This window comes from Homo sapiens, unplaced genomic scaffold (assembly GCF_000001405.40).
Source record: "Homo sapiens unplaced genomic scaffold, GRCh38.p14 Primary Assembly HSCHRUN_RANDOM_CTG27".
NCBI classification, from domain to species: Eukaryota; Metazoa; Chordata; class Mammalia; order Primates; family Hominidae; genus Homo; species Homo sapiens.
In genome coordinates this window covers 65,946-78,677 of record NT_187505.1, presented here as the reverse complement: position 1 = coordinate 78,677, position 12,732 = coordinate 65,946, and positions in this window count along the sequence as shown.

The following is a 12,732-nucleotide window of genomic DNA, read 5'->3' as shown; positions in this document are numbered from 1 at the left end:
GGAACCGGGCAGTGTGCAAAGTGGACACTCAGGAAAGAACCTGAGGGTTGAACTATGGATATGATGGAGAAAATTCACCCCTAACATGAGTGCAGACACTCTAGCTACAATAACAAGCGAAGGTGGAGAAGGAAGCACAGAGGCAAGCAGCTGGGGAGATGTGGGGGTGGGATCCAGGGAAGGTTCTCTCTTTATTGCATCTATTTTCAAATTGAAGTAGGAAGCAAGGCAGCAGGTGTAAGGAAGGCTGGGGAAGGTTTTAGAGGTTTAAGGAGGAAGGAGAAGGCACGATACTGTTGCTTGGGGACAGGGCAGCACTTCCAGAGCTGGGTGCCTGGGCTCCAGGGCAAGTCACTTCATCTCTTCCTGTGCCAGCATCTCCTCAGCTGTGAAATGGTGATTATTATAGAACAGATTCATAGAGTTTTATCATAATTAAATCAGTTGGTATTCATAAAATACTTAGATTATATATATTTTTATTAAGATAACAAATAAAGAAGTCTGGCAGACTTATGGACTCGGGAAATGAGTGAGTTTGTAGGACATCATCCAGGGCCCACTGGAGGTTTGGGCTTGGTGATTAAGTGAGAGCAAAAGGCACGTGTGTTTCTCTCTGGCTGTGCTCAGCCACCTGACTGCAGGAGCAGAGGGAGCGGGTGGCTGGCTTTCAGCAGAGTGCAGTTTTGCCCTGGGAGCACAATTAATTGTGGGGCAAGAGAGTGGAGAGTGTTAGAGAGGGTGGATGACAGGCTGGACCATATAGTCTCAGCTGGGAGGAGGGGAAATTTGCAAGAAACAGAGTGAGACACAAAAGTGAAAATTTGGAGTCATTGAAGTGTCTTGGAGTTGGGAGGCAGCTGGAAAAAGGAAAGTTGTGGTCAAAAAAAGCGTGTTTGAAATTGAGGGTCTGGAGTAGCTACAGTTTCTGCAGTGACAAGGACAAGAATATACAGGTAGGAGTGGGTGACTCAGGGAGGGTGGAGACAAGGTCTCTAGGGGTGGAGGGACCAAGAGCCAGAGCATGAGGAGGACTCTCTATGTGCATGTTGGAATCACCTCAGCAGGAAAAAGTGCCCATGAACTGGGAGCTAAGTCTTCAATGCATAGGGATGTGGCCCTGGGTGCAATCTGAGGGCAAGAGCTTCAATATTGATTCCCTTCGTGTGTCACTGTGTCCTTGGGTAATTTTTCTTTGTGTGAACATCACAGAGTGTGCTTACACACACCTCAATATTGTACCTACTGTACACCTAGGCTCTATGGCACAGCCTACCGCTCTCAGGCTGCACACCTGGGCACAGGTTACTGCAGTGAATATTGTTGGCAGTTGTAGCACAATGGTCAGTACTTGCACATCTAAACATATCATGAAAAGTACAGTAAAAACATAGTATTGCACTATATAAAAATGTAGTATGGTACCTAGACATGGTGCACTGGTCTAGGACACTTACCATGAATGGAATGTGCAGGGCTGGAAACTTCTCTGGGTGAGTCAGTGAGTGGTGAGTGAAGATGAATTCCTAGGGCATGACTGTGCACTACTGTAGATTTTATAAACACTGGACACTTAGGCTACACTACAAGACATATATTTCTTTTTCTATAGAATTATAAATCTTTTTTAATAAATATATTTTTAAAGTAACTGTGCCATAACGTTACAATTGTTATGTCACTGGGCTAGGCAGTAGGTGTCTTTCGGCTCCATTATAGTTTCATGGATCCACCACTGCACATGCGATCTGGGTTGATGGAAACATCATTTCATGGCACATGAATGTATTTTTATGGGAGAGCAGGATGATGAGCTGAAAGAGGGAGGCAATGAGAAGCAAGGAGGACCTATCCTGCTCAGGTCCAGGGAAGGGCTGCAGCAGAGGACCGCAAGGCAGCAGTGTCCTCAGGGGATTGGGCCTGTTACTCACAGCAAGGAAGAAAAGGAAGAGTTCCCTGAGGCTGCTGAAAACCAGGGGGCTGCTGGTGCTGGAGCAGGATGTTGAGGACATGCAAAAGGGTTTCAGCAAGGGAGGGAGGGAGGATGGAACTGGGGAGTGAGGGTCAGCCCAAGATAACCAGGCCTCTCCCAGGAATCTTCTGGCCACTCAGAAGCAGTGGTGATGCCCACTTGAGCCCACAAAGGGCACCCAGTGCCCAGCATGAGAACCTGGCTTGCTTATTGTCCAGCCCTGACACAGTCCAGCCATTGCTGCCACCTACTGTAGCCCCTAAGATGGATCAGCCTGGCCAGGTCCTCAACAGCCCTCACTGAGGCAGGTAAAAACACAGGCACCTGTGATAAGAGGCAGGCAGAGGTAAGTCACATAGTAGTGGCAGACCAGGTGCTGCAGGAGCCCAGTCAGATGGGCACTGAATCCAGGCAGGCTTTCTAGAGGCAGTGACTCAGGATTTGTGTTCCAGTTGTGTTGGTGGCACATCCAGGAAGCAGCGCATGGTCCAGCTGGGCACATTGGGAATGGAGGCTGTTTTTTTGTTTTTGTTTTTGAGATGGAGTCTCACTCTGTCTCCAGGCTGGAGTGCAGTGTCATGATCTAAGCTCACTGGAGGAGGCTGGTTTTTAATGAGTCTTGAAGCCAAGGCAAGGGTCATGACCAGGATCCAGCCTCAGTAATACATTCACCCCTTCACCCTGGGGCACTGCTGCAGGCCCACCATCACCAGCCTACATTTGCTCCCCTCCTGCCCTCTCTTCCCAGGAAGCCCCTCACCTGTCACTTCATGAAGAATATGGAAGCCAAGGAGGTCTTCTTCAAGCATTCCTCTCCACCCATGCACTTCCTCCCTCCCTGCCAGCTTCAAAGGAATTGATGTCCAGAGAGACCTTCCCCAGTTGCCCCACCTTTCCATCAGCCCCTTCCAGGAACTGTCCTCTGACGTCTCTCTGTCTAGATCTCCCTGTCACTCTTGTGCACACCAAGACTGTTCTCCCTTTTCCTGTCAGCCACTGAGTCCACTCAGATATCTTCTGCTTCCCAAAATTAAAATTACAAACCAAAACAGAAACAGCTTCCATGGCCTTACACATTGTAGACACTTGGCTACAGCAGTGAATGACATAGACAAAGTCCCTTTCCTCATGTAGCCCTCATGCCAGTAGAGTGAAACAGGTAATAAATAAACTAGTCAAATGTTCAGCATGTGAGTTGGTGATGAGAGGATGGTGCTTCATGCCTGTAATCCTAGTGCTTTGGGAGGCCGAGATGCGAGGATGGTTGAGGTCAGGAATTTGAGACCAGTCTGGGTAACATAGTGAGACCCTGTATCTACAAAAAATAAAATAAAATAAAATAAAATAAAGGAAAAGTGGAGGATAGAATGTATCAGTAGGAAAGGGGGATGGGAGAGCCACATTTTAGACAAGGTGGTCCAGGAGGGTATAGCTCCAACCACTATTCCTCTGGCCCATTCCACATCTATCCCCATCCCACCCCCTGCACAGTCCTTGGGTCAAAGCCTCTCAGTCCTGTTTGTATTTCTCCAAGAGTGATCCAGGGACCAACTGCATCAGAACTGTGGGGTGAGGTCACAGCCCCTGCCTGTGAGAAGCGCAGATTCCTCTGCCTGAACCAGAATCCCTGGGAACAGGACCCAGGAATTTCCCAAGATCTCTGGGGGACTCTGAGACAGCCCAAAGTATGGGAGCTGCAGATTTCCTCCTGAAAAGGGAGCACTGTTTCAAGGGGTCCAGGTCACCCAGCTCTACCTTGTAGCCACCAGACCAGTCTGAGCCTTGGAGAATGCTGCTCTTTCCTCCTGGAATGCCCTTCCCAGTTTTCCTTGCCTGGTAACTCTTACACATCCCTCAAGACCCAACTCAAGGGCCACCTCCTCCTGACATCACTCCCTGAACTTTCTCCTGTGTTTCCATTCTTTTCTTCACCAACTGATGTTGACATTTCTATGGGACTATCTCTCTCTCTCTAGACCAGAAACGCCTACAGTTGCAGCCCCCTGTAGTGCAATTTGTGTCAGTCTGGGGAGAGTGGATTTGGAGCCCAACCACCATTGAGGAAAATCCGTCTGATGGACATGGTGGGTTCCAGCCCAGACGCAGGGCTCAGCGAGGGGTGGTGTGACAGTGAGCACAGACCCTGAGTGGTGGTGAGAGTGGCTGTCATGGGGAGGAAAGGAATGGAAAACGGACCTCATGGGAGCAGAAAGAAAGGCCTTAGCTGCAGATGGGCCAGGACCCCGCCAGGAATCCAGAACATGCATCATAATCCCAGCTCCGCTATAAGTCCACGGCGGAACCCTGGCAACGATGTTCCCCTTTCTGAGCCTCATTTTACTCATCAGTAAAATGGTGACAATAACTCCAATTTCACCAAGGAGATGCAAGGCTCAATGAGATGATGGATCTGAAAATGTCTTATGTACCATGGCGCAAAGGAGAGGGACTCCTGACATGTGACAAGCACAGGGAGAGAGGAAGGATGGGGTCTGTAAATGGCCAGGTGGCAGCCCCACCCCTCCACACACACAAAAACCCACCGTGTCACCCACACTAGTGATTTTCTCAGGAGGGCCCCCGGCCTGGAATTAGCACTGCCAGGTGGGCAGGGAGGACTGCTGTCCCATTACAGGGGTGAGGAAACAGGCTGCGGATGGTCCCACAGGGAATAAGGAGCAGGGTCTAGCTCCCCACTGCAGGCAGTGAAGACTGAAGTTGCTCCCTGGGAAGAGGAAGGGAGGCATTGACTGGCACTCCGTGATTTAAATGAGAAGCCCAGGCTCAGCCCGGTGACTTGAGCTTCCTGATGTAGAAGGTGAAGGATGCAGAGCAGACAGAAGGCAGGAGGAAGAAGATAAGGAAGAGAGCAGCAAACTGGAGTCACTACAGGACACTAGCTGCTCCAGGCTGCTCTGTCCCACTCTAAGAGAAAAGAAAAAGTGGGAGAGGGGATCACAGATCATGCCCAGATTCCTCACCAGCATAGATGCTGCTATGGAAACATCCCTGATGGTCCAGGTTTGTGGTGGAAGAGATTGCAACGCTCTGCTTCCTGGAAATCTGTGTTTACAGCCAACACAGTTGCTACCCGAGACAGCCCCACCTGAAGACCCCAGAGCTATCCCAGCTTGCCAGCCTTCCCCTCCTCCTGTTATCACCCCATGCTGCTGAGAACCTACCTGGCAGGCTGCCCAGCCAAGGCCAGGGCCTAATCTCAAGTAAAACTGACATGTCCTCATGAGGGCTGAGGAACATCCTCTCTCCCCACAGAGCCTCACTCAGGTTCTCATCTACTTCCTTGGGGTCTGTCCCGCCTCCCTCAGGAGTTTGGAACCACATACTGTTCTGGAGGGGACCTCCCACTGCTGCCGAACCTGTCCTCCAGGATACCCACAAGTGTTCATCTCGGTCGTGGCTAATTAACTTATCATATGGTAGTGAACTACCTTCTGGGGCCCCAATATTTTATTTTTTAAAAATAAAATTAGTACCATTTTTTATTTTCTGAATGTACAGAAATATTTGTCTGATTATTATTTACATGCCCTTTGGGAAAACTTTATAAAATAAAAAAATATGAAGGAGAATCCTACCAGACAGAGATAATCACTTTAATTATTTTTCTATTCATATTTGCACATACAGGTATATATGGGATCATGCTCTGTATCTGTTGAGAGTGCATTAATCTGAAAGTTCAGTCACTTAAACAAAGACAGGTTCATTTTTCTTACGTAGTTAGAATATCTATGGTTCCTGGCTATGGTTCACTGGTTCAACAATTTTAGGCCCAGCATCTTTGTGAGTCTATTGGAATTTAGCTCATGGCTGTAAGACGGTTACTGCAGCTCCAACCACTACATGAGTTTACAAGGCCAGCAAAAGCAGTCACTTCCGTATTCTTATTAGAAAAGCAAGAACTTCAGAGGTGACCCCCAGAGGATTTCTCTTTAGGTCTGGAAATCTGTGTTTAGATTGGCCAGAACCTGATCTCATGACCATCCCTAGCAGTAGAGAATAGCAATGTCATGATTGACTTTGGATCAATCATAATTTATTGACTGAGAGTGCACATGTGGTCCCCCAAAGAAGATCAAGAAAGGAGGGAATTTGCAGTGTGTACTACAGTATGCATGCTGTTTTATAATCTGCTCTTTCTCTTCATTGCATATTTCAAACAGGATTCCATACTGAGAAATATAGATTCAGTCATTCATTTAACAACAAATTATTGAGAGTGTACTGTGTTCCAGGAACTTAACTTGTCATGGAGGACACAATAATGAACATAGTATACTCCTTGCCTCCATGGAGCTTAGCATCTAATGAGGGATACAGAAACTCATCAAAGAGGTTCACAAAGAAATGGAAAATTACGACTGTAATTTGTGCTGAAAAGGTGGGAGGTGTGTGGTGTGTGAGAGCAGGGACAGGAGATTTGACTCAATCAGGAGGGAGTGTGTTCTGAATGGCCATAAGCCATCCCCTTGCCTAGCTGTAGCACAATTATTTAGCCAATCTCTTATTGCTGGACATTTACATTCTTCCCACATCTTACCTACTATCATCAATGCAACAATAAATATCCTTCTCTAAGTATCACTTGGCACACTTGTCTGATTATTTCCTCAGTATAAATTCCTAGGGTAAAGCCAGGCACCATGGTTCATGCCAGTAATCACAGCTACTCAGGAGGCCAAAGTGGGAGGATCACTCGTGGCCAGTAGTTCGTGGCCAGCCTGGGCAACATAGGGAAGTCTTGACTCAAAAAAAAAAAAATCCTAGAAGAAATGAACAATTCTTAGATGTCGAATTGCCAGATCAAGGGGTGTACCATCACCATCCCCATACTCACCATCACTATCCTCATTATCATCATCAGTCTCACCCTCACCATTCTCACCAGCATCAGCAGCAGCATCCCCACCATAACTATCAGTATCATCACCACCTTCACTATCACCATCCTCACCATCACCATCATCATCACCACCACCATTTTCACCACCACCATCCTGACCATCACCATCATTATCACCTCATCACCACCATCTTTACCATCACCATCACCATGCTCACCTTCACCATTCTCACCATCATCATCATCATCCTCAGCATAACTATCACTATCATTATCACCACCTTCACCATCACCGTCATCATCATCATCATCACAACCACAATTATGAAAATCTTGGAGGAAAAGGAAGGAGGTAGCATATTAAAATACAGGTACTTTGATGAGGAAGAACAGGCAGAGTTGAAGCTGGGGAGGGGATATCAAACAATGGAGACCCCCAGAACATAAAACTAAGAAGCTCAGGCTTTGCCCAGAATCAGAGGCATCCTTGAAGGTTTATCAGCAGGAGAGTATGCAGTCAGATTTGTGTTTAGGCAGAACATTGAGCAATCCTCAGAAGGAAGAAGCAGAGGGAGGGAAGCCCACAGAGGAGACAGAACCTTCAACACCAGCCAGGGTCCTGGTCCTGGGTCCAGCAGAAATGAGGAACGGGAGGCTCATGGGTAAAGGCTGAAGCCAGGCAGGGAAAGGCCTCACTCTCCCTGCCACTCCTTTCCCTGCTCCCCACTTTCCTGTCCCGTCTTTGCTAATAGGCTCAGCATCTCCAACTGCACCCACCCACTAGGTTTGCCCCAATTCCTCCTCCTCTCTCATGCCTGAGGCCCAGGTGGCTTCCAGAGCTGACCAGGTCTACTTTAGAATTTTAGTGAGATAATCTGGGTAGAAGTGCTGGTGCCCTGCCAGCCACAGCAGGTATTCCTCATATGGTAAACTGGAACCGTCTTCTCAGTTCCTACAGCCTTGGGTTCAAATTCTGCCTAATCCAGATGACCACCATCTCTCATCTGAGCAGAGAAGCCTCCCACTGGTCTCGCTGCCCCAGACCATCCTCTTTCCAGATATCAGCCTGATAATTTTCTCAAACTGCAAACCTGGTCATGTCCCTCCCTTGTCCCTTTGACTAAAGGGTAAGATCCAAATCCCTTAGCATAACATCCCAGGCACTGAGGAGCTGAGGCCCGTCCATTTCCACCCTGACTTTTCCCCTCCCCCTCTAGTAGCATTGCTGACAGACTTGCCTTGTCCTTTCACCACATGGCTTCGATCCTGTTGCTCTTCTGCCTGGAGCGTCTTCCCACATCTTCTCTGCCTGGTGAATTTCTACTTAACCTACAAAGCCAAGCTCACCTTCTCTGTGAATCCTACTTCCTCCCCATCATGCCACAAATTGTCTCTCTCACTAGACCTCCAGCCCCTAATAATCAGGGACAGTTTAATTCATGTTGGAAATGGCTACTCCTCACTGAATTACCCTAATTAGCTAGTTATATTCCCTTATGTTTATGTTTCCCCATTTACTGACGCTTTCCACAAGCCAGGCACTGAGATCCAGGGCAGGACCCTGAGGGTAGGACAAGCGTGAGCACTGAAGGCTACAATGGCACAGGCACCAAGAGGCCATGTAGGATGCAGGAAGCCTCATGTCTAGAGTGTCTTCGTGGTTTACCATGCGCTTTCCTCCCTTCCCTTATTGGAGTCACCTTGTGCTGGTTTTGATAGCCTGTGTCCCTGAAACATGCACTCCCACACACACAAACAGACCCGCACCTATCCACATGTACCTGCCCATACATGCACAGACCTCCCTGTGTATCCCCCAGAGCCACAAATGCCAATCTTGAGAATGAAGATTTCGCAAGTGCTCTGTGCCAGGCATGATACCAGGTCCCTGACAACACAAGACCCTTCTGGTTTCTCCCACTCAGCAGTGCAAGGTTCGGGGTTGAGGAGCTCTACTTGCCAAGGTCACAGACGGGGAACATGAGGTAACAGCTATTTGAAAGTAAGCCTGTAGGTCACCAAAACATATGCCATCTGCACCCCACCAGACTGCCTCCTCCACAGCACATGAAGACATGAGTCTATCAACTCTGACTCATTAGTACCCAGCAATATTTCCTCCCCCACTTCGCTTCCCACTGCCACTCCAGTATCTCTGCCCACAGTCCCAGAGCCACCTCTGCTTAACGGAGAGGTCAGGACAGATGCTCCGTTCCACCCGATGCCATCTTCCAGGGTGCAGCCTCCTCACAGAGAAGAGGACTACCATGGCTAGTGGTGACATGGGTGGCTCTGGCCCCCAGGACTTCTCCCCGGGACCTCTGCTCAGGACATGGTACGGACAGAGGTGAGGTTACCATAAACTGCCTTGGAAATGACTACAAACCAGGTGAGACCATTCCAGCACCTAACACACTGACAGCCCAGGGTGGGCCCACAGAAGGGGAAGGGCTAGGAAGACTAGGGCCGCAGGAGTTCCCCCTCCCTGAGTCCTTGAGCACAGCCACCCAGGTGTAAAGGACAATATGGGGGTTCTGGGGATTCCCAAGCCTGGGCCCTAGAGGTGAGTTCTAGCAGGGCCCCCAGATATCCTCCCCATCCATCCCCTCATCCTGTGTCACATATTGTAAAAACAAGGAAACTGAGGCCTAGAGAGGGAAGGGGCTTGAGCAGTATCCCAGGCAGTTAGAGACAGAGCCCAAGTTAGAATCCATGTTTGTCTCATTTCTTCCCCCTAGGTCTGTCTCTGACTAGCTATGTGACCTTGGAAGAGTCACTCCACCTCTCTGGGCATTGAAGGTTTACAACTTCTGACATGTTCATTCCAGAGGGTTGTCAGGACCTGAAAGCACATCATCTAAATAAAACACTCTACGGTCTGCAAATATTCATATATCTCTTCTGTTGTCTGAACTCTGTAATACCCCTAGGAGGCTGTGAAAATTGGTGCTTGTGTCCTATTATGCAGATGAAAATACTGGACTCAGAAAGACAAAGATCACACAGAAAGTTTGGGACAGGGCTGGAACTAGCACCCAGGTCTCCCAAAGCAGAGTCCTTGCCATCACTAAGGCTAGGAATACATTAAGACTCCAAAATATGGAGAGTTGCTCAATGCATGCCACCAAGGTTAGAGCTGACCAACCCCAGAATGCTCAGCAGCTCTGAGACCCTGGAGTGGAGGACTCAAGGCAGAGGGTGATGCCTAAGTCACACACATCTGAGCTCCAATCCAAACTCTACGCAGCTGTGTGTCCCCACTTTATGAGGCTCAGCATTCTCTACTACAAAGTGAAACTATAGAAGGTACCGAAAAGCTCAGGATGAGGGGAGAACTGCACCCTGAATGCAGGACTGCCAGGCAGGTGGTAAGCACTCATTAGCTTTTGTTTCAAGCACACAAATCATATGTTATTTTTCATCATGTCTCCCCATGGTGTCTAGTCTATGGCTCCAGAACCAGGAGGCTTCTGATCAATCCTTATGCTAAATGATGGACAGATAGATGGATGGGTGGTTGGACAAATAAATGGATGGATGCATGGATTGATAGATTGATGCTGGGATGAATGGATGGATGAATAGATGGATGAATGGATAAATGAATGGACGGGTGCTCAGAAGAGAATACCGAATAAAACAGGGAGTCAAAATGAAAATAACAAGATGATTGAAGGATGGGGCTGATACATGGAAGAGAGGAACAAGATCCAGCCCTTCTGGCTCCACTCACACCCACAACCACATACCTTGGGGTAGCACTGGCACATGCCCCAGATTAAACCCCTGGACACCATGATGCTGCCACAGAGTTTCACTGAACTGGAGCCCATCATGACTCAGGAGGAATGTACTGAGAGCCAGGAGAAGACCCATACATTGAAGCTGAAGTAGAAGGTCTTCTCATCTGCCAAAGTCTCCTCATCTGCCATGGCTGCCGGTCAGGCCCTTGCCTGTGCACCCCTGAAAGAAGGGGCCCAAGCCATCCAGCATAAACATCCAGACAGGCTCACAGGAAGAGATGAAGCTCTTGGATCACTGCAAATCAAGGTTTAAAGTTAAAGGGAGGGCAAGAGCCCTTCAGCTCCAGGCCCATTCCCTGGACCCACCAGTGCAGCAGGGCTGGAGGCAGCATGCTTCGGTGGACCAGTGAACCCACTCCCCACCTTCTCTCCTTCCCTTGGGGCCCAGAAGGCCTGGAGTTCATGTGTGAATATGGGTGAGGAAGCATGCAAGGGAGGGACAAGGGGAGGTTACAAGGGCTGGCCCCAGGGAAGCCTGTGACAAAACCTTCTTTGCCTACTTTGGGGTTGAACTGAGTAAGCAGCTGATCCCACACCTTCTAGCCCCAGGAAGCAGGGTACAATTCTGCAGCCAAAATATGTTAAAATGCTGCCAGAGGATTTCAGGATCCCACTGCCAGACATTTCAGGATCCTAGATTTTAGACCCTTCAAGGATATGTGTCCATCTGGAATTCAGGCATGATGGCCCATATACAGTGGATGGTGATGATGCGCATGGCACCATTCTAAGCATGTTACAGCTATTAACTCACTTAAGGGACTCCATGAGGCACGTATTGCTACACCCACTATGCAGAGGACACTGAGCACAGACAAGTAACTTCCCCAAGATCACACAGCTGGAAATGGTAGAGAAGCTGGAACGTGAACCCAGAAGCTGTGCCCCCTGGCCACAGGGCAATGCTGCTTAACTGCAGCACAGGGTTATGGGTGAGAGCTCTGATGGCAAGGCAGGCTGCCTGTGCTTAGATCCTGGCTCCTGTACTGTGGGGCAGCGTGGTCTTGATAACATTACCTGCCTGTGTCTGTTTCCTCCTATGTAAAATGGGGATAATAACAGTACCTCCCAGCATTGGCGCTATCTCCAGGCCTAGGTGTCCTGGATCCTTCTGCCCCCTTTACACTCTGTGCAGCATCCAGACCTGCTTGTAATGAGGTCCTCTACTCCCCCACCAAAGCTCTGGTGAATTAATGTCCCTGTGGGGTATAAGTGACTGACAGTAACTTCCTCAATCTCCTTGCAGCCTAATCTAAGAAGATGCCTTCTAAACAATAGCATTCTAATGTGAAATTTTAGTCCTGTGAAAGGCTAATGGGAGAAATCAGATTCCTTTACAAGATTACAGAAGAAACAGGACAATGAGTATCTCTAAAAGAGAATGTTCACTTGGAGTGTCGATGGGGTTAGGTGGCCGATACAGGATGAAAGGCTTTCATTTGGCTCCCTGACTTGCTGGGTTTGGGGTTTTCCCTGGTCCTGGTCATTACCTCTTTCCTCCTGCCCAGCATGTGCTCACACCAGCCCCTCTGCCTCATAGTCCTTCCCACAGGCCCTTTTTCTTATATTTTTTTAGAGAAGGTAAGCTCAGAGGAACTTTTAATATACCAATCGATGTTAATAAAACACAAGTCAAAGACAAGTGTCAACATGCTTTCAACCAACATTAATGAGGAAACAAGACACAAATTCTTTTTCTTTTTTTATTTTATTTTATTTTTGAGATGGAATCTCGCCCTGTCGCCCAAGCTTGAGTGCAGTGGCGTGATCTCCACTCACCACAAGCTCCTCCTCCTGGGTTCACGCCATTCTCCTGCCTCAGACTCCTGAGTAGCGGGGACTACAGGCGCCTGCAACAACGCCTGGCTAATTTTTTGTATTATAGTAGAGATGGGGTTTCACCGTGTTAGCCAGGATGGTCTCGATCTCCTGAACTCGTGATATGCCCGCCTCAGCCTCCTAAAGTGCTGGGATTACAGGTTGAGCCACTGAGCCTGGCCCTGTTTGTTCTTTTACATTAACTTTACAATATATTTGCCATGTTCTAAAAATGAATTTAATTGGAATTTTATTGAAATTATATGAGACATGAT